The sequence below is a fragment of the Homo sapiens genome, chromosome 13, assembly GCF_000001405.40.
Source record: "Homo sapiens chromosome 13, GRCh38.p14 Primary Assembly".
NCBI classification, from domain to species: domain Eukaryota; kingdom Metazoa; phylum Chordata; class Mammalia; order Primates; family Hominidae; genus Homo; species Homo sapiens.
In genome coordinates this window covers 88,224,886-88,248,173 of record NC_000013.11, presented here as the reverse complement: position 1 = coordinate 88,248,173, position 23,288 = coordinate 88,224,886, and the positions used below count along the sequence as shown (strand labels likewise).

The 23,288-nt window shown below is 34.1% G+C and overlaps 1 long non-coding RNA gene and 1 pseudogene across 1 annotated transcript in view; one reads left to right on the top strand and one right to left on the bottom strand.

The window, feature by feature from the left end:
• RPL29P29 (ribosomal protein L29 pseudogene 29) lies at nucleotides 11,205-11,612 on the top strand (annotated as a pseudogene).
• LINC00373 (long intergenic non-protein coding RNA 373) overlaps nucleotides 12,092-23,288 on the bottom strand; it is a 93,216-nt gene continuing 82,019 nt past the window's right edge. Inside the window, exons 4-5 of the long non-coding RNA NR_131919.1 lie at nucleotides 13,756-13,851; nucleotides 12,092-12,171 (exon numbers count right to left, since the gene is read on the bottom strand). This is a non-coding gene — a long non-coding RNA (long intergenic non-protein coding RNA 373). The remainder of the gene's footprint in view (nucleotides 12,172-13,755; nucleotides 13,852-23,288) is intronic.

The following is a 23,288-nucleotide window of genomic DNA, read 5'->3' as shown; positions in this document are numbered from 1 at the left end:
GAGACTATCCCAATGTGACTCTATAAGGAAGAGACAATTAAGTGGCTATGTTAAATATGCTAAAGGCTCTAATGGAAAAAGAGATCAGCATATGTTTATCAACTGGTAAGTTTAATGGACAAATTATGTAAAAGAATAGAAATAATACAGTGTTAAAAGAAAACACAGACAGTCACAGATGAAGAATGCCTTTAAGGAGCTCATCGGTGGACTAGTTGAAGTCAGAAAGAGCATCAGTGAACTTGAAGATAGGTCAACAGAAATTTTACAAAGTCAAATAAATGATTACAAAAGTATAGAGGTAAAGAACAATAATAAAATAAGCATCCGAGAAGAGTGGACCAATAGCAAATGGTATAACATAACTCTAATTAAAATCCCAGAAGGAAAAGACACCAAGAAGAGGGAAGAAGAAAACATATGAAAACATAATGGATGAAACATTTTTATAAACAGTAAAAAAAAAAACCCAACACCACATATTTAAGAACAAACAAACAAATAAATAAGAAACACATACACACATATCTAGACATTGTATTCAAACTGATGAAAACCAAAGTTAAAAAAAACCTTGAAATCAAATTGAGCGGGGGAAAAAGAACTTGTTACATACAGAGAAAGAAAGATAAGAAAAATAAAATTCTCATCAGAATTTATGATATTCCACAAGACAATGGAGTAACACCTTTAGTGTCTAAAAGAAGAAAATGTTTAACCAGCAAAAGTTAATTTAAAAAATAAAGAAGGAATAAAAATATTAAAGCAAAGAAAGGCATTGAATTCATTACCTGCAGACCTACATTTCAGTTATGAAAGATAAATAAGCTCCATATATCTAATATACAGCATGATGATTAGTGGTAACAGTACTGTATTATATGCTTTAAATTTGCTAAAGGGTAGATCCTATGTGTTTTCACCAAAATAAAAAAGTAATTATGTGAGGTGATGGATAAGATAATAAGCTGGATTGTCGTGATTATTTTTAGTTATATATATATATATAATTTTTAGTTATATATAATTATCAAGTTTTAAATCTTAAGTATACACAATAAAAAGTATAGAATATGAGGAGCTCTCGTGAAGAAAAAAGAAATTTTTAAAGCAAAAATAGTGTAGTAAGATAGAGAAGACTACATCAACACCAAGAAATAAGATCCATGAAAATGGTTAAAGTAAAGGTAAATTATAAAAGATTATTTCTATTTTAACTGTATTAAGAAATAAATGATTATCTAAATCAAAAAAATACTGTTGGATTTTTACTACTTTGGATTAATAGCATATTCAAAAGTGAAATATATAAAATCAATAGTACAATACACAGGATGGAGTACTTAAGTGTATACTGTTTTTTTTAACACTACTAATGAAGTGGTATTAATATTACTTGAAGGTGAACTGTGATTAATTAAAGTTGTATGTTTCAACCTTAGTGCAATCACTAAACATCAGTGAAAGAGGTGTAAGTCTTAAGCTAATCATAGAGATAATATGGAATCATATAAAATATCCAAACCAAGCATAAAAATAGAAGGGGATAACAATCAAGCCAGATGAACAACTAGAAACAATTTAGCAAGATAGGACATGTTAACCCAAACATAGAGCTAATCATATGGAATATAAATAAACTAAACACACACATACAGCCACCACCACCCAAGACTGTCAGACTGGACAAACAGCAAAGCCCAACCATATGCTGCCATGAGCTGAGGCCTTCTGCTGCAACTCAATTCCAGTTCAGGGTCTCTCATCTTAATCCCACTTTTCTCTCACCATAAACCTCTTTCATATAAATCTCTATCTCAGAATACATTTCCCAATACAGTATTAATTAGTGGGAATAAAAATAGGCTGAAAACTTCACAAACTGTTAGAACAGGGACTTATAAATTATGTTCTAATGAACACTTGTTCTAAACAATGTTAATACATGTTACCCTCGTAAAAGTAAAAAAAAATAAATATAAAAAACTAGAAATTCAGGCTTAAACAAAGTTAAAGTTAATTTTTACAGAAAATAAGAAAACCATTCCAGTGATAAAATTAATGAGAATAATATAAGGAGTCATAGCAGAGTGGTTACTTGAAGCCAGACTGATTAGATTTGAATTCCGGATCCACCGCTTAATAGAAGTATGAAACCCTGGGCAAGCTACTTGATACCCTACTAATGACTCAATCTCCTAATTTAAAAATCAGGATAACAATAGAGGCCTTATTTCCTACTGTGGCTATGAAAATTAAATAAGAATATAAGTGAAATACTTTAAAGATAGTGAGCACTATATGAAAACTACTATTCTTTCCTGTGTGCTTCTGATTATGACTTTTCTTCATGGATCACTCCATTAGTATAATTTTGCAGAATAATATTATGAGAAAGGATGATATTTCGAAGATCTGCTACTTTGTTTTTTATGTATGCTAAATTGAGAAAGCAAGAAAATAAATTGTATGCCTCTTCTCTCTTACACCATAGCAAGTAAATGACTCTAATTTTCCCCTGAGACAAGACCTATATTGATTCAGTACATTAAAAATCTTTTTTATTTTATGTTTCCCTTGGCTTTGATGTCTGATTACTTAGATGGAAACAAAACCTCTGTATGAGATCCACAATGGAACAACATACAGCTCTGCAATACCCTTTTCAGTGCACACTGCTCTATGAGATATTACATTAGTTTAACCTTGCTAGATTAGGAAAAAAAATTACGACTACCATTGTAACCTATTTAACTTGTCTTTTTAATAGATGAGATGCATTTAAACACACAGGTACACCCCCACACATTCTAAGACAACATTGTTTTATGAGGCCTTTCAGAATAAATCACTTTAAATAGTGATTCAGTTATACAGACAGTAAAATATAAAATTATCACCTGTTACCACTCACCCCAGCAAACACACACGCATATACAATCACACATAATCACAATGGCACACATAGACAGACACACATATACATACATGCACACACAGCCTCATTCACCCTCATACTCTCAAATGTACCTAATTCACACTCATATACTTCCTCTCCCATATGTACACACATTCACAAATATATTCACACACTCACTCTTACAGTACAGTCATACTGTAACTATGTTATATGTATTTCTAATGTTACTAAATGTGGAAAAATATATCTGGGAGTTTAGGAGCACTGTGGATAAGATGTTCTGATTGCTCTGAAAAGTAAACATTGGGTCTCTACATTAAAGTGAAGACCAAGGGAACCACAGACATTGTATATTTAATAATTAACATTTCATCAGGTTTTTGGATCAGTTAAACCTCACCACAACTGGGCACGAGTTTCTTCAGGTCATTTCAGGTACTTAAAGCTGGTGGGACAACCTCAACCATTAGATAGTATTCATTCTGGCATAGATTTTATTTTACTTTAATTTTTTGTTTTTCTTGCTGTCCCGCTGTATCTGAATACTTACGGTAATTTACTGCAGCAATGGAATTGTCAAGTTTTGTAGATGTTATTAAGATGGCATCAAGAAAAATGTAAATGAATTCAAAACATTTGGATTAGTCTGCCACTAGCTCTCTAAGAAACTAGCCCCCTGATGACCATGTTCTAGACCTTTTCTCTTTGCACCCCGCTGACTTCTCATGATTGCCCTTTCGCTACTCAGACTAGAGTCAAGTGATGTTTCCAACATGCTTCTGAAGTGTCACAGTTTCCACTGCCACATTGTCCTCTAATGTCTCTATCAAAGCTAAAAATTTAATTTTTCAGGGCTTTGATTTCTTTTCTGAGACTGGCTTAATACTGGCCTATATGAATTCTTTATGATTACCAAAAAAGTCATTAAAAAGTCATCCTTTGAAACTGGCAGATTTTTTTCTCTTTTTCTAACTCTAAAATACAAAACAGAATATCTACATACTTGAGTTTAATATGAACAAAAATATTACATTAAAACTTCTGTATACTTTGTAATATATATCAAAATTTACCTCTGGAAAGAGAATTTACTATACATATTCTCAATTATTTGTTTACCTCTACTATTTATAATCTGAGCATAATTATTAGAAATCATTACTTAAAAGCTCTCTGTTGTGAAACTAGAGCTATAATTCGAAAGCAACTTTTAGATTTGTTCTTGTTGTTGTTGTTGTTACAGTGTCTCACTCTGTTGTGCTGGCTGAAGTGCAGCATGATTGTGGCTCACTGGATCTCCAGGGCTCAAGTGATCCATCTCAGCCTCTCGAGTAGCTGGGACTACAGGTGCATGCCATCACACCCCGCTAATTTTTGTAGTTTTTTGTGGAGACACTGTTTCTCCATGTTGCCCAGCCTGGTCTACAGTAGCTGGGCCCAAGCAATCTGCCCATCTTAGCCTCCCAAAGTACGGTAGACTACAGGTGGAAGCCACTGCTCCCAGCTAGCTTTTAGATCTTAATCAAATGTGATGCTTTTCAAAAAAGGACATACTACATGGTCTCGCTTCTAAATATGCTGTGTAATAAGTCTAGATGTGGTCATAATGACTTATATTTTCAGAAGTGCCTAAGAAAAAATGATATATCTGTAATGGGAAAAAAACATGAACAGAAAAATTCAAATGTTTTCCCTACATTCTCAATATGTTAGTGATATATCAACATATTTGACCTTAATGGTGCTTCTCTACCATATTTTTGCAAGCAGAATCTCTGTCATCTCTACTTAAACAAAATTATCTTAACACAGGCCACTTAGAAGAGTATATGCTCCAATATTATATTCTAATTTATTAAAGCTAATATATAATATCTACCTATTATGAATAATGTCTGTAATAATAGGAAGTTTGGGGAGAGAGAGAGAATATCATTTTTCTCTGAAGATAGTCGTTATAATTGAAAAGAAATTTAAAAAATATATTTCTAAAGTATTTTAAAATATGTCTCATATAAATATAAATATATTTGCCAAATATTTTATTGAAATTAATAAAGAAGCCAGTAGGATAGTAAAATAGACTCAAAAACATTTTAAAAACTGATTGTTTTGGGGCATTAGTAGGATAAACCTACTAGCCTAGTTACAAAGCTAGGTAATATCCAAAGGCATCATAAAGCATATATTTGGGGGCTTATTTTTTCCTTCAGACAAAAATTATTTGCATCTGTACAAAATCTACTTTTCTCCAAAAGCCTACAAGTTAACATATAGCTTCACTAAGTCTCAGAACTTTAACCCATGGTATATAGTAATTAGAATTAAAATAAATATTCCTCTACACAGTCTTTTACCCTTATGTGACATCGGAAAAATAGTTTACCCATTTTTTCCTTATTGTCAAATTTAAGATAAAATTTTCTCTGAAGTTCTTTTATAGCCTAGTGTTTTTAAGCAAGAATTTTGGGAGTGATAATGATTTCATCTGGAATCCAAGATTAGAAAGGGATCACGGAAATAAACATCCTCAATTTACCAAAGAAGAATTTGACTTTGGAGTTGAAAGAAATAATGAATGTTCTCAGAGACTATGTATGGCAGAGTTTGGCCTCCCACAGATATTGCTTAAATCTGTTATCACCGCAGCATCTCACAGTCCCTAGATATTTTTCAAAAATGAAGTAACCAGAACACAGTAATTTGAACAAATAGGTCAAAAGAGTAGAGCCAATCAAGCTGTAAGATCATCTTCCCTCTATTCTTGCCATCATCCTCCTATATTTTGGCACACCACAAAGACACACAGGTGATTCATGCAGCCACAGGTGGCAGTCATTGTCCCTTCACACAAAATCCAGATCTACTTCTGGAATTTTTCATTATCCCAAAAATTCCATTAGTCTAGAGGCCTTTTTCGATGCTCCATTTCCTCAGGGTACTATTTTTTTGTAGAAATTGATAAACTAATTTTATCTGTGAGGTTAATTGACACTGAACTTTCAATTTCCTGCTCTTTTCAAATTGGAAATATAATTTCACACTAGCTTTATGTGAATAGCAAAATGATGTAAAAATGATTTACATTTAAGGAATGAATACAAAAAACTTGGAGAGTAATTTCTTAGAAAAAATATTTTCCTGGTAGATAGTCCTAAAATTACACCATAGAGGTTCTGGTTTTCCAAGATATTATGATATTAGCCATAAACAGTCAACATTTTAAATCCACATGTATTTTAGTAATTCAGCAAATTATAAACATTATTTCCAAAATACCCATTTGCTATAATAGTTATTACTGATGTTGTCTTTTATTTAAATTCCAGATTCTAAATTTATAAATTCTTTACTATTATTTGTTATTTATCTTTTGCTCACTAAGCTCTAGCTTGCTAAATGTGAACAATGTTAGAATCTAGAGAAGTGCCACAAATGTTTTAAAAATTTACTACTGTTTCTTATATCATTACCTTAGGGGACACAATACCTCTTTTCAATGAAATTCATCACTATATTTTAAAACATCTAAATTATCTCTTTACAACAATAATTTTATATATTTTCCACTAACCCATATATATCATTAAACATTATTCTTTATTTTTCCTATTTAACCATTTCTTCTTTGAAATGCACACATTCATTTCATGACCTGTATCAAGAGAATCAATGATTTCTAGTTACAGTACTGAAGATAATAAAAATATTTTTTAAAATTTCTATAGAAGTCATCTTTTTTAAAGAAGCACAGTTCAGGTATAGCCTCTATTTCTTCTCATGGAAATGTAAAAATTAAATCTTAGAGCAATTTTTTGAAATGTACTACAATTTTACAACTTACAATTTTTTTCATACTGATTGATTTCAATTAAATAAGTGTTCAACCCTTCCTCATTGAGAAGTCTCAACAGTTTTGTATGTTTGTGATATTTTTTGGGTGAACATATATTACCACTGATTAATTATGTTTCAAATTTATTGAATCATAAATGCATTTATTAAACAATGAAAGTATGTAGAATTTTGAACACATTTGAAGTATGATTTTCAGTTGTGTTTCTGTTATTTACAAAGTAAATGATATAGTTGAACACATGATACCTGCCTGTAAGTCTTCAAAGTGGTATAATGTACACATGTAAGTTTGAATAAGGCTATATATACTAACCAGTAAATATACATGATTCCAACTTTTTCTTAAACATACCGAGCAGTATCACTGTGTCTGCTAAAATTTTTGGTTAAAAATACTCTTCGGTAAGCAGATGTCAACCAAAATGACAGAGGACAGACATCCAAATTTCACTCCTCAATGAAAATAATGAAAATGTAGAAAAAATTATAAAACTTCATTTTTCATAACTCTGAAAATTAAAATGACCAAAGTCTTGCAGCAAGCAATTTTGTCAGTAAAGATGGCTGAACCTTGATAAGAACAGTGAGTTTTGTACAAATTTCATCTATTGCAGTCCAGTTCCCCTGCCCCCTTTCCAGCTCTCTGGCAACCTTGAAAAATAACAACTTGCTTTCAGGTACTAGATAGAGAAGGCTAGAACTGTAACAACCCAATGGGTTATTCCTGCCTGCTGCACAAATAAAATCAATTCACAGAGCCCATGGCAGTGCAGTAAAGAAACAGTTTAACTGATGTGAGGCCAGCCACGCCTTGCGGGAGATAAAGTTATTACTCAAATCAACCTCTCTGAGCATTTGGGGCTATAGTTTTACAAAAGTAGTTTGAAGGAAGGGGTAGGGGTGGCTAGGCAATGGGTGCTTGCTGCTGATTGGTTGGGCATGCAATCATAGGAGTATGGTAAATGGTCCTTTTGCAAGCTGAGTCACTTCTGGGTGAGGCCACAAGAGTGGTCAGTGGGTCTAGGTGGAGCCATTATCAGTGGGTCCAGTTGGAGCCACTGGTCATCGGACATTGCAAAAAACCTTAAAAGATATCTCAAAAGGCCAGTCTTTGGTTCTACAATAGTGATGTTATCTGCAGGAGTAATTGAGAAAGTTGTGTATCTTGTGACCTCTGGAATAATGGCTGACAATTATTTATGTCTACACCTTAGCAGAATTCAGGCTCCTGTAGCCTTCTAGCCTAGTGGTCTCTCAGTTTTACAAATGCATTTGAGGTTTGGCAAAGGGCTACTATCATTTAAACTGTAAACTAAGTGTCTCCCAAAGTTAGTTTGGCCTATACCCAGAAATAGTTAAGGGCAGCTTGGAGGTTAAATGCAAGATGAGGGTTGGCTAGATCAGATCTCTCCCACTGCCCCAATTTTCTCAGTGATACAATTTTTGCAAAGTGGTTTCAGATTGAGAGCTCCTTCAAAGTTTTATTCCCAATGAAAATATGTTATTCAACCTGTCTGGTGGTTTCCTGGAAGAACCTGTTCAAAAGACTTATCTTTTTTGTGACCTCAATCAAAATTGCTCAGTACTAAAACTTCTCCACAAGGAAGCATTTGTCACATGTCTTAACATCGCAGCTTTCTCTGGTGATTGGTAACAGCTCGGGGAAACAATAGACTAAACAAAAACTTAAAAGAAGCAAGGAATGAGATGTCCTTAAGGGCTTGGAAAATGTTTAACATATTCCTGGGAATCAAGGTGGCCATACACATGCTTAGGCTGTCCAAATTCTCCTGAAAGACCTTTAGAGGTCTTAGGTTCACACCTCTACCTTACCTTGAGATTTCATGCAACCAGGAAGTGAGGACTCAGGAGAGTTTTCAAGTACCTGACTGCTGAAGGCATGCTCTAAACTCAAACAGGACCCCACAGCAGAGAATGGGAGACTTATTTTCCCAGGTATCTGAGGAAATCTGTGTCCAATGATTAAGTGACCATGAAACTAAGCAAGTGAAGACTTTAGTGGTTACTCATTTCAAAGATACAGACTTTACAGGATTAGTTCAGAAGTGTCACTTAAACTACTACAACAGGTAGTAACAACAGACCCTTAAAGAGGGGGGATCTAATTTCCAGAGATTCCATATTGTATTGATTTAAATATTGTTTTTACTAAAAAAAAGAAATAATAAAAATATAAAGAAATAAGAAACTATGATCCATGCACAGGGGAAAAAATAAAACATTCAATATAAACTATAAACCATTTATGAGGAAGCCCATAAGATGAATTTACTAGACAATGACTAGAATTCAGCGATTTTACATGGGTTCAAGGAGCTAAACAACACAATTTCTAAACAAAATTAAAGGAAAGTACGAGGCTAATATCTCACAAAATGGAGAATAATAATAAAGAAATAAAATTATTAAAATAATCCAAGTAGAAATTCTGCAGCTGAAAAGTTCAGTAACTGAAATAAAAAATCACTAGAGAGTAAACAGTAGATATGAACAGGTAGAGAAAGAGTCAATGAACTAGAAAACAGGGCAATTAACATTATGCAGTTTGAAAAAAATTAAAAAAAGGAAAATATAATTAGGGACAATAAACAGAAAAGTCATAATTCCAGATTTTAAAAGCTACTGTAAAGCTACAGTAATCAAGACAGTGTGGTACTATCATGGTTCTAGTCTAATATTGTTATTAGAAAGGGTTTCCAATCCAGATCCCAAAAGAGGCTTCTTGGATCTCCCACAAGAAAGAATTCATGGCGAGTCTATAGAGTAAAGTGAAAACAAGTTTATTAGGATAGTAAAGGAATAAAAAAAATGGCTACTCCATAGACATAGCCTCCCTGAGGGCTGCTGGTTGCCCATTTTTATGGTTATTTCTTGATTATATTGTGAATGAGGGTTGGATTATTCCTGAGTTTTTGGGAAGGGGTGGGCAATTCCTGGAATGGAGGGTTTCTCCTCTTTCTAGACCCTATAGGATAACTTCCTGATGTTGCCATCACATCTATAAACTCTCATGGTGCTGGTGGGAGTGTCTTTTAACATGCTTATTTTATAAGAGGCACAGAACACACTAGGTGATGTGAAAAAATATACATGATCATATGCAGATGAGAAAACAATTTGTAAATTCAGGAAATCCTTATTGTATGCTTATATTTTGGCATAGCAAACATTTCAACATTTTGAAAGATAATTGCATTTGTCATATTACTCACAATGTAGCGAAGCATGCATGTAAACATCTGTTCTAAAAATTGAAGGGCTTGTTTATTAAGACATTTTAATGAATTTTCATATTTAAGAACAAAATACTAGAACTGAATCATACAGTAAATTTTTTTAGGGAGATGGCTTTGCAACTCCTCATGCATGTTTTAATGTAGAATTCCCAGTGCACAAATCTTAAGGCTATTTTGTCTATTAATGTATTATCCTTATCTTACTGAATGGTTACTTCCAAATATCACTATGGTCTTATTAATTTTTGTGTTATTAAATCTTATCCAATTTTGATTATTTCTGGGGATTATTTTCTTTGGTATTGTGACTTTATTCATAATAAAATTTAGAAGAAATAAAACTCAAATGATCAAGGTCAAAAATAAGTCTGGAATATAAATTTTCTATGCCATGACAATCTCTAAAAGAGTAGCTAAATGCACTTTAGGTTTTGTCTTGTTTTGTATTCATAAGTGGAAAATAATGCATTTAAGTAGAAGAAATATGCATCTTTATAGCCTCAGAGTTCTTGCATCATAGTAGCCTGTAACTTGTCATAGACTTTGCTGTCTGTGATAAATAGTGGATTTCTGATCTGGTATGCAGTAGAAGTACTGCATGCTTTATACCCATTAACATATCTTCTGTATTTTAACTTATAGTGGAAAACTATAATCATAATGATAAAACAATAATCTGGGTGTTTGGGAGATCTTCTAAGAGTTACTAAAAATAATATGATGTGAAGCTAATTGTAGGCATATTAACTCAAAGTGTGTGAGGCTATCTGATGAGGCTGAGGAAACAGCATCATTTTTTTGCTTCTGGCTTAGTTAGTAATGGAACAAGAAGCGGAAACACTCACTTCTTTTACAATGGAAATAAAGTAAAAATATCAGTTAAATTAAAGTAACATAACATTATTCCCCCATCTCCTTGTTAATTTAATATTTTAAAAAACGATTTCAATATTGAAGAGCTTTGTGATAATTTCAGCAACTTTATGAAGATATAAATGACATATTAACAGGATTCTTGTCATTTGTAAAAGGTTAGTCTCCATAGAACCCCTAGGAAACCAACTATAAATGTTAGAAATAACAAATATAATACAGTTTTTTTTAGATAAAATCAATATTATGATCAAGCTGTTAAAGAATACTTGAATCAGGTGGGTTATGATGTATTCATGGCCAAGTTCAAGAACCATACCACATAAAACCAGTCCCCAAAATGGTACAGAGATTGTATTAAGAAAACTCAGTCACAAAGATATGAATTTCTTAAGTGGGTGGACCCCAAATTTCTGAGAAACATGTAGTTTTCCAAGAGGCACATTAATCAAGACCTGAAGAAAATGCAGGCCAACAATACCAAGGCTATGAGTTCATGTGTCGAGGGTATCAAGGTCTTCACAAAGCCAAAGAAAATCAAGCCCAATACCCCAAAGGGGATCAGCTTGAAGCCCAATCAACTTCTTTGTATTGCCTACCTGAGGCTCAGGAAGTGTGCCCTCATCACCAAAGGTCTCAGGCTCTTGTGGCCAAAGGCTCAAACCAGGACCCAAGCTGTGGCTTGGTCTTTTGCCTCACTTCCCAGCTCCAGTTCAAAACCCTGTCTCTGAGGTAGAGTCCTCTGCCTGCCTGTGTGAGGACAGAAGAACTGATGTGACGCCTGGGCTGTCTTCTGCATGGAGCTGGTGTCCTCTGTCCTATTTGTACAAATAAATCTGAGGTAGGGAAGAAAAAAAGCTTAATTTTTTGAGTGCTTAAAAATATATGGTATGTTTCAACAACAAAGGCACAATAAAATTACTAGCTTATTATTTGATGAACTTCTGCAAAAATATATATTTTCTCTATTGTCAAGTCCAAATCTCCTAGCAGCCAACACTGAACAATAAATATTAGACTTTGTGAATTCTCAGGGGCCAAGTGAGCAGATGCTCCTAATACAAGCAAACAAAATAAAATATCTGAGAGAAAACCTCATATCAACTTACCATTCTGCCTCTGAGAGAAGTAAGCAACAGAAAAAAAACATTTTGTGTTTGTGCACGCTTATGTTCTTACCTTATGTATGTAGTGAGCAGAAGCAAGAGCTGCTAGCAAGAGGCTTCCCCGGCTCATCAATCATATTCAAAGAGTATGTACCATCTGCATTGGAAAAGCAGATGAAAGGAAGGAGACAATGCTTTACAATTTTCACTCTCCAGCCCTTAATACTCCCCCAATGATCGTACTACTTTTATAATAATGCAATGTTAATACTGTCATAAAAACTGCAAAGATATGTTCACATTAACTTCTAAATCTTCAATACCAGGGATAAGCAAACTTTTTCCAAAAAGGACCAGATAGTAAATCTTTTAGGCTATGTAGGCCACAAGGCAAAATTGGCATATTATGTAAAAATTTGTATAACAAGAGATAAACCTCTTACACATACTTTCGTATAAGATATCATTTCTATTTTATTTTACATAAATAAATAATAAATAAATAAATAATAAAATAAAATAATATAAATATATAAAATAAAATTAATAAGTACATAATTATTTTATGTAAATAAATAATAATTGAATTTAATTCATCATAGTACAGGTTTATGTACCGTGTATTAGCAAAATGAAACTTTTGGAGGGGGTAAAGGTTAATAGTTGCTTGATTGTATCTCAAAGTTAGTATTCCCTATCAGTACAAGTGACTGAAATACTTCATAAGTTAATGCTGATAAGAAATGAGATTTCATGTATCTTATCTTTGAAAATATTTTCACACAAATATGTACTATGTGCTACTGATATTACATGAGCTCTTTTTTTTTTTTTCTTTTCTGAGACAGAGTCTTGCTCTGTCACCAGGCTGGAGTGCAGTGGCATGATCTTGGCTCACTGCAACCTCCGCCTTCCAGTTCAAGGGATTCCCCTGCCTCAGCCTCCCAAGTAGCTGGGACTACAGGCACGTGCCACCATGCCCTGCTAATTTTTGTATTTTTAGTAGAGATGGGGTTTCACTATGTTGGCCAGGATGGTCTCGATCTCTTGACCTCATGATCCACCTGCCTCAGCCTCCAAAATTGCTGGGATTACAGGCATGAGCAACTGCTCCCAGCCTCATAAGCTCATATTTTTATTGAGAATATTTATTCCTTGGAATGCATTTATGGAAGTCTATTAGATAATTTCTTTGACATTTATCTCTAATCACGTCATTGCATTACCAAGTAGTCACTTTCAGTTGAAGTTTAGGTAGACCTCCTCAATTGTACAGTTCAGTGGATTCTGAAATATCCTCTGAAAATGTAATAAAATATAAATACTAGAAATTTGTGTTGAAACGGTGATGTATTTTTTTATTTTATCATTTGACCACATGGGAAATGTTTTTAAAAGGTTGATGTCACTTAAAATACAAATAATGTTAGTTGTCATCAAAATGACATTACTGCAATATCAGTTTCACGTAGAAATACTATTTTACCCTTTAATTTTACACTGAATTTCACTGAGCAGCATTACCTATTCTGCATAAAAATAATCACTAAAGCCACTAAATATATTCTAATAGTAATTAAGGATGGTTCTTCCATTCAGAAAACAATGTCAGTCTTAGTCCTGAGCTAAAAAAATAAAAATAAAAATAAAATCCCAGTAATACTTTACCACAGCTAAACCATCAGATTTTGATGTGGTAGAAAAAGTCAAGTTACTTCACGTATATTTCTAACTCACATACCTGGCAATAGTTAACTCCAGGAAAATAAATCAAATTCATCAATAAACTTCTAGTTAAATTGTATATGATAGTATAAAATATTTTTCTGACAAGTACCTGCTAAAGAATAATAAAATGAATTAATGGATACTATAAACACCCTTTGCTATCACAAGCTTTGTAAATTTTCCCAACTAATTATTTATCTGCTTTATGTATAATTTTTACCACCATGAGTTCTAACACATCTTAGCAGATTCTGCTTTGGGTTGTACAGAATTAAGTCTTAGTCGCTTGGAAAACACTGCCTCTTGTACTTGTTTCAAACAATCTATTTATAGACTTTAACTCTTCAGTCACTTTCAAGTTGACAGTGACGCATCTGTTAAACAACAACAACAACAAAAACAAAAACAGTATTAGTAAAATTTGTAAACCTATCAAGAGCCAAGGAAAACTAATAAAAATATTTGCCTTGTTTTTTTAATTGATTATGGATATCACACTCAATGTTCTCTTTATGTAGCTGCTCTCTCTAAAGAGCTTGCAGTCTTAAATAAGTTTTTTATCTTAAGCTTAAGCTACATTTGTTCAGCTGCTGCAATCACATGTAATTCAGTTGATTCACTACTAATAAAGAATTTTTCTCATTTGTCTTACAAGTAAGCCACTCAAAATATTTATTTGCTTACTGCTTGACTATTAGAATTTTTTGTGTGTGAAGAAATTCTTCCACGATGAGATATTCCATTTTCAATTTTCAACTTTTCTGATTATTGTCTTCTTGTAAGATGGGATTACTGTGATAAGCATGTGTGTATGTGCATGGTATATTCTGACAATGTCAATGTGCATTATGTTCTTTTTATACCATTAGAGTGCCATTGTAAAATAAACATAACTGTCTTCTAATTCAGTAACCAAAAAATTGTCATACCATGACTTAAAAACACAACACTCAAACTTAAGTTTTCTTGTTGAGTATGTACTAGTATAAACAAACATAAAAAAGTCGGAGTACAATGATAAATATGACACCCCAAATGCTGTCCAGGCATAATTGTGTCACTGCAAGTTTTGGTTTGCCTACCAGTGGTGAAAACAATGAATGGAGACTGTTGCAGCTATTAAACTCTGTTGCTATAGCAAGAAAACAGCCATAGACAATACATCAAGGAAGGAGCATGGCTGTGTCCCAATTAAATTTTATTTATGAAAAATACAATTTGAGTTCCATATACTTTTCATGTGACATAAAGTATTATTTTAAAATTTTTAATCAGTTTAAAATGTAAAAATCATTATTAGTTCCCAAACAGAACCAAAAAAGGGACTGGGACACATTTACATGTCAGGGCATAATTTGCCAATTTCATTTCTATTGTAATACTATTTTGCTTCTGTTAAAAGCATAATAAAAAAGGAGTAAAGAACAAAGAAAGAGAAGGCTTCCATACAGAAGACAAAAGATACAATATGCAATTCATTTTAGAAGCTTCAGGAGTTGACCTCAAGAAATAAAGATACTAACATGGAAATTTCAGATTTTTTTTAATCTCTCAATATATTCTGTAGCAATGATATTTAATTGTAATTTTTTTTAATTTTTCCAAGTATTTCAAATATGTTGCTACATCTGATCTCCAAATTATCAATGTAAGACAAAGAGCGCATACATTACTTTCCTGTTTGTGCAATTTAGAAAACTGAAGCTCATATCTTAACACTTCCATAATTATAGGACTGGTAAATAGGAGAGAACATCGCATAGTTATGTTGATACTTACAGGTGTTATTGATTCTAGTGAAATATATTCTAGTCTAAGTAGTTAACTATAACTACAAAGGGAGAAGACCCATTCTACTTTGTAAGAGCTCCTGTGATATCAATAATCATAGGAAAGGCATTATGAATAGTGCTGCTATTCTACTCCATCACGGTGGCATTGTACATATACAGGAAGATAATATGTAGGTCCTATTTTTTTAATAGAAATAAAATTATTTTTATTTTCTCTGACCCACTATTTATTCCTCATCCTGATTAAAAATAAACTCTCACTTCACTTATGGTTTTTTTTTTGTTGTTTTGTTTTATAATCACTCCTTTCCCCTAGTATATACCTTCTCTGACCTAAGGAAGCTCAGATACGTGACCCCACTAATTAAATTCTAACTTGATTTCTTATATCTTCTTGATATATCTTTCTAATCCAGTATCTTCTCAGAAAAAAAAATTGGAAGGGTATTTTGAAGGTTGTGGCTAAAGGCAAAAGAAAGAAAAAAGTATGGGTGCCCATCAGACATTTCAAAGATATTTCTTTACTTGCCCATGAGTATATATTTAGGAATTGATTATATTTAAATATGAATTTACATCCAAATATATCATCAAATAATCTACCCTGCCAAAATAGTAAGTTGCAAATAGTGTGGTCCTGGAAAACTTGAACACGGCCACAAGCTTTCTGTAAATGATGGGAATTATACATTGAAAACACAAACCAGCAAAATATTAATTTTCCATTTGTAGATATATGAATGACTGACTTGCTCATTGAATTTAGAGATGCTAGAAGTGATATTTTTTTCAACATTCTAAAAAATAAAAGCTGACTCTCCAACAATCAGCCAAACAGGCAACTAGTTAAAATTAAAAGACTAGATACGTGAGAAATCCATTGCTTTATGTAGGTTTTGATTTTCCTTAGACCATGACCCAACTTGCATTAACAGCTATCATGGAATACCAAAAAGAGGGTGTGTTGGTGGTTTGTATATGAGGTTTGGCACCTATTCATGGAGATAATTGTTTAGACCAAATAACTAATTGTCCCTTTAACAACAAGCTGCTATCTACTTGTCAGTCCAATTTTTTGATATATATTCTCAACCTCAACACTAATTCCATATATTTAAATAAAATTTTTTCTCTCTCAGTGCTATTTCCAAAATTCTGAAGAGTATTTTTTAAGAATATTCAGACCCAAATACAGTAATAACACTTTCCCCATATTCAGCCTATTTTTTAAAAATTCAAGGTAATTCCTGTACTTTTATGATGCTCAATTAGACTTTAATAAATTGTCCCAGGAGAGAAATTATGTGTGTGAGTGTGTGTGTGTGTGTGTGTGTGTGTCTGTGTGTGTGTGTGGTATGTTTAGTAGGGACAGTGGAAATCCAATTCAGTTTACATCTTAGAGATATACATATACTGTATGAAAACACAGAAACAAGCGTCATGAAATATTCACAATAAACTCAATTCTTATAAACCAAAATAAGAGAAAAAAAAAAGAATAGGGAAAATGGCTCTCCACTTTCTCAGTTAACTTGTTCTCACTCCACATTCCCTCTACACAAACCCAAAACTGTCTACCCATAACATAATACTTAGTGTACATTTTATTTGTGAAAAAAAAAGAATCGACAGATTATATGTTCTTGTTTTAGAACTGGAAGAGTAAAATACATGTCTTTGAGAGTTTCTTAAAATTTTATGCAAAGTCAAAACTTAATATACATATAATAGACAACATAAGCCAACCAGTGGGCTAGGAAAATATTAAGCAATTCATTTCTTCTTTACATTTTATGACAAATCTCTTACTATCCTAATTACTGTTAATTAGGATAGTAGGTCAAAGACAGTATCTCATCAGTGTCATGGAGCTTTAGAATTGCAAATCTCAATTTTAGCTTTGCTTGGTCGCTCCTCAAAATTGTTAACATAATGAAAACAAGAAATAAACTGATGAACACATAAGACATTCTTCAAAGACAGTCCTATATGTGATCAGTTTCTCCAAGGTAGGAAAAATAAATTTTGTAGAGCTCACTAAAGTTTACCTGGAACACATTTTCATAGTTGTGTCTGGGTGATCCAATCCGGTTTTGAATCTCACATCTGTTATTTTAAACCAGATGACCTTAAACATGCTATTGAACTTATTTTATTAATAGAATCAGAAGCTCAGTGAAGTTACATGTAATTAATTAGATTGCAAGTTTACAGATTTGATGTCCAATGTGTTCTTGACTGTTTTTCAGCTGCAAAAACCAATTGAGTATAATGCATTATGATTTAAACATCTACTACTATCTTTTTTTTTCTCAGGAGCAGAACATCTAAAAGTGTAAAAAACACTTTGTAATTGTTTTGTAATAAAACAACCATAAAATCTTCTTGGACTTAGAGTTAGAACATAAACAGTAACGAAAGGGAATATAAAAATTGAGATTGAAAATGTAGTTAGGGCCACACACATTGTAACAGAATGCTCTGGTCAAAGTAATACGTGTAACTGATAATTATGTATAATTACCGTGTATTAATTTTAAAAAGACACTGTGAGTGATGGATAGGTTAATTAGCTTGATTGTGGTAATCATTTCAAAGTGTATATATATATCAAAACATCAGGTTATATAACACATATTTATAAATTTTGTCAAGTATACCTGAGTGGTTCAATACTTCAGTGGAGCTAGTAACTGCAGATGTGAGAGAAATAGCAAGATAGCTAGGGGTAGAGCCTGAAGATGTTGCTGAACTGCAGCAAGCTAATGACAAGACTTGAATGAATGAGGAGTCACTTCTTATGAATGAACAAAAAATTGGTGTCTTGAAATGGAATCTACTCCTGACAAAGATGCTGCAAACATTGTTGAAATAAAAACAGAGGGTTTAGAATATTACATAAATTTAGTTAATAAAGCAGCAGCAGGGTTTGAGAAGGAAGTCCATTTTGAAGGAAGTTTTACTGTGAGTAAAATAGTATCAAACAGCCTTGCATGCTACAGATAAATCTTTCATAAAAGAAAGACTAAATTAATGCATCAAACTTCACTGTTGTCTTATTTTAAGAAATTGTCACAGCCACCCTAACCTTTAGCACTAACCTGATCAGTCAGCAGTTATCGTTGAAGCAAGACCCTCTATCAGCAAAAAGTTTACAACTCACTCAGATGACTGTTAGCAGTTTTAGCAGTAAAGTACTTTTAATGTAGGTATGCAAATTGTTTTCTTAGACATAATGCGATTGCACAGTTCATGGACTACAGTATGGTATAAACATAACACTTATATGCACTAAGAAACCAGAAAAAAAAGTGTGACTACTTTCACCATGATACTCACTTTATTGTTGTGGTTTGAACTGAATCAGCAATATTGCTGAGGTATGTCAGTAGTTTTCATGGGCCAAGTCCATGGACCTCTAAGATCACTGCTTTTATTTGGATTGACTTTACATTGCTTTTGCTAACCAATACCCGCTTATAAAAATCACATATCACTGCCTGAAAAAAAAAAATCCTGAAAAAAAAAATCCAGCCTGCCTGTATATTGAGTCTAACTCCAGGTTAATAAACTGTCTGTTATTTTTCTGTCCTGGCTATATGCAAAGGCTTTATCTAGCAGGCCTCATGGAAGAAAGTTACCCTTCTCACATTAGACTTGGTGTATAGCCAATGCATGGCAGTCTTGCGGTTTCAAAGGGAAGCTGCATTCAGGGACTCAGGGCCACCTGGCCAATCAATGGTCTTTACATAATCACATTCCTTGCGCTGGCACCTTCATTTCATTCTTTGATCAGCCCTCAAATCCCTCTAACTCACTTCTTATCCTCTTGCATATTTCCCTTTTAAGCTCTTCTGCCCTCTGACTTTACAATTATTTCTGCAATTCCCATACCCGCTTCAATAATACGGTGCAAAAAACTTGTCTCCTCAATGATTTTTCTGACTCTGCATAAGCCACACTGTCTCATACTGCCTTGAGCATCAAAGCACAGGCCAACAGTGCAAATGTAAACCTACACATCATAAGTCTAAATATTTAAAAGTTACAAATTAAGCCCTTGTTCCAGCTTCTGTTTCCATGAAGGGCCAGAAATTTCATTGGTAATGGGCGTATAATGATATTGATGCCTCCCCTGTGTCAGCCATACTACCAAGTGTTTCTGTGGATCCCCTCGATAGAGCACGGAAAAGAGTGAATGCAGATCCCAGCTCAGGCAGTGACTGGACCTGCCTAAAACTTAGATGAGAACTGACAGTTCAAGCTACCCATGGCATTAGATCAGTCAAGTGCTTCTCCCTCATATTGCCTTTTTCCAATTCAGAATTTCCAGGCAATTATACATGCTTTCAAAACTATTTCATGTAAGCAGAAAAAGGAAGAAACTACAGTGATCTGGGAAAAGTGATCTGTCTGGGAGAATTTGGAGAGGCAACCAGAGACAAAACCTAGACAGAAGCTGTTAGTCCTCACCTTGCTCTGCACCTTATCTTCTAGCTACCTTGGCTCAGGTTTTCCTCAGTGGTAACTTCATTTTGCTCAGTTGTTACCTTTCAAAAAAATTTCTTAGGAAACTAAAAATGTGTGTTTTAAGATTGGCTGTTTATGTGATATTCAGGACCTGCTGCCCAGGTCTAAGGGTAGCATGGGCCTCCAGTACCCTCCCATGCTAGTGACTTCATTGGTAGCATCCTGTGGGGGTCATGTCTGATAGTCACTGTCTACCAACATAACATGTACATAAGAGTGCCCATATGCAGTATATAAAGTTCAACCTGATTTTCTGTAATAGATGGCCAAAGGTATACCGAATACCATACAAATGGAAAAGTCTAAAAATTCTTATTCTAGCACTTAGTGGAATTGTAAGATGATTAATTTATCTATCACCGTATCTAGGTTTGCAGCTCGTTATGTGTCATGCATCAAAATTTTCTTTCTTAATTAATTATTAGTGCAGTAACCATTTCTAGTATTAATTCCGAACACAGTATGATGGATAATTTTATTTGTCAACTTTACTAAGCCATGAAGTCATCACATATTTAGTGAAACATTATTCTGGATGTTTGCGTGAGGGTGTTGGTAGATGAAATTAACACTCAAGTGATAGAATAAAGCAGATTGCCATCCCTAATGCACGTAAGCATCATCCACTCAATGGAAGGCCTAAAGAGAACAAAACAGCTGACCCACACACCCCCTTCCCACCCCCACCCTACTCCACCCCAAGTAAGAGAGCCTTCTCCTGCCCAATTCCTTTGAACTAAGACATGGGCTTTTATCTTGCCTTTGGACTCAAACAGAAACACTAGCTCTTTCTGGATCTCAAGCCTGCCAGCCCCTGTATGGGAATTACACCATCAGTTCCATAAGTTTTAAGGCCTTTGGGATTGAAATGAAACTATACCACAGGCTCTCCGGGTCTTCAGTTTGCCAACTCAACCTACAGACCTTACGACTTGTCAGTCTCCATAATCATGTGAGCTAATGTTTTACATCAAATAAGAATATATATATATATATCCTATTGTTTCTGTTTTGCTGGGGAACCTTTACTAATACATGCAACATAACTTCCAAATTTCTGAAAAGTTTCTCAAATTACAATGGTTAGCATTCAGCTGTGAGTCCTCATATATCTATCAGTCTACAAACTCACACTTGATTTGATTGTTCTTAGTTGCTGGCATATTCAAATGATTAACAATTCATTTAAAAATGCTCATACCTGTAATCCCAGCACTTTGGGAGGCTGAGGCAGGTAGATCACCTGAGGTCACGAGTTCAAGTTCAGCCTGGCTAACATGGTGAAACCCTATCTCTGCTAAAAATACAAAAATTAGCTGAGCATGATGGCAGGTGCCTGTAATCCCAGCTACTTGGAGGGTCGAGATGGAAGAATCACTTGAACCTGGGAGGCAGAGGTTGCAGTGAGCAGAAATCGCACCATTGCCTTCCAGCCTGGGCAACAGAGCAAGACGACATCTCAAAAAAAAAAAAAGAAAGAAAGAAAGAAAAGAAAAAAAAGAAAGAAAAAAAAGAAAAATGTTTAATTTTTTTCCCCCACAAATGACCCTGATAAAATATATATGGTAGAACGTGTTAAAGGAGACAACATCTAACATATATAGGCAGAAGTTTGGGTATGGGACAATTATGAAGATAATTTTCATTGCCAGGAGCCTGTTGATGAAAAGCCCTATAATTAGATGAAGTACGAGGCACTAAAAGAGAAAGACTATTATGTATAAATTACATGCTAGAACATTGACATGAAAATAATAATTATTAGCATCGTTATTATTATGAGTTACAAATAGTTTACATACTTAATACAACAGTGAATTACACATGATCTTTCAACATAATGCTCATGCCCTAAAGTTAGACACAGCTGTCTGCCACCAACTCAGAATAAAAATGGGATGTGGAAATAGAATGAAACCAACACACAGCAATACAAAAAAATCAGCCATAAAATATTCATTGGCTCTATTCTCAGAAATTTCTGTTCCTCCTCCCTGATTAGAAAATTTTCCTGGCTGGGTGCAATGGTTGACTCCTGTAATCCCAGCACTTTGGGAGACCAAGGCGGAGGATAGCTTGAGTCCAAGAGTTTGAGAACAGCTCGGGCAACATAGTGAGACATCATTTTTACAAAATAAATATTAAATAAATAAATAAATATTAGCTTGGTGTGGTGGTACATGCATGTGGTCCCAAATACATGGGAGGCTGAGGTGCGAAAATTGCTTGAGCTTGGGAGGTTGAGGCTGCAGTGAGCCATGATCATGCCACTGCACTCTAGGCTGGGTGACAGAGGGAGACCCTGTCTCAAAAAAAAAAAAAAAAGAAAGAAAGAAAAAGAAAAAGAAGGAAAGAAAGGAAAGAAGAGGAAGGGAATGTAGAGGAGGAGAGAGGAGAGGAGGGAAGGGAAGGGAAGGAAAAGGAAAGGAACAGAAATGAAAAAATAATTTTCCTAAATATTTGAAATGAATAAAAGCAAAAATGTTATCGGAGCTGACCAGAGAACTTTCGTGCATAGTGTATCCCATAAATGATAATAATAGAGATTATCCTTTTCAAAGTAAGCAGAGGCAGAATTGTTTGTTCTTTTGCCCAATTACTTAGCCTTGATTTAATGTATGGAGATTTGATGGATAGTTTTCTTACTTTCAGATTCAGCAACAACTTCTAAGAGCTCACTCTTAACTACTGCAATTGTTACCAATATCATTTAATTCACAAATTCTTCTCACACTTATTTCCCCCAGTTTCTTTCCTATCCTATCCATAAAATTCAGTTTCTTTACTGTCACCCAGGTTATAATAACTAGTATTATGTGTATGTCTACCCTAATTTGAAATGCTATTGACAACCTCCCAATCATATTTGCCTACACAATGTTAATGCTTCTTGATGGCCCAATTAAGATCTTCAAGAATGTCTCCTGAAGACTACAACTCTTCCTCCAAATTATGATCCTATTAAATAATAATAGTGACACTTTAAAAAACAGAACTGGGCCGGGCGCGGTGACTCACGCCTGTAATCCCAGCTCTTTGGGAGGCCGAGGCGGACGGATCACGAGGTCAGGAGATCGAGACCATCTTGGCTAACACGGTGAAACCTGGTCTCTACTAAAAATAAAAAAAAATTAGCCGGGCATGGTGGCGGGCGCCTGTAGTCCCAGCTACTCGGGAGGCTGAGGCAGGAGAATGGTGTGAACCCAGGAGGCGGAGCTTGCAG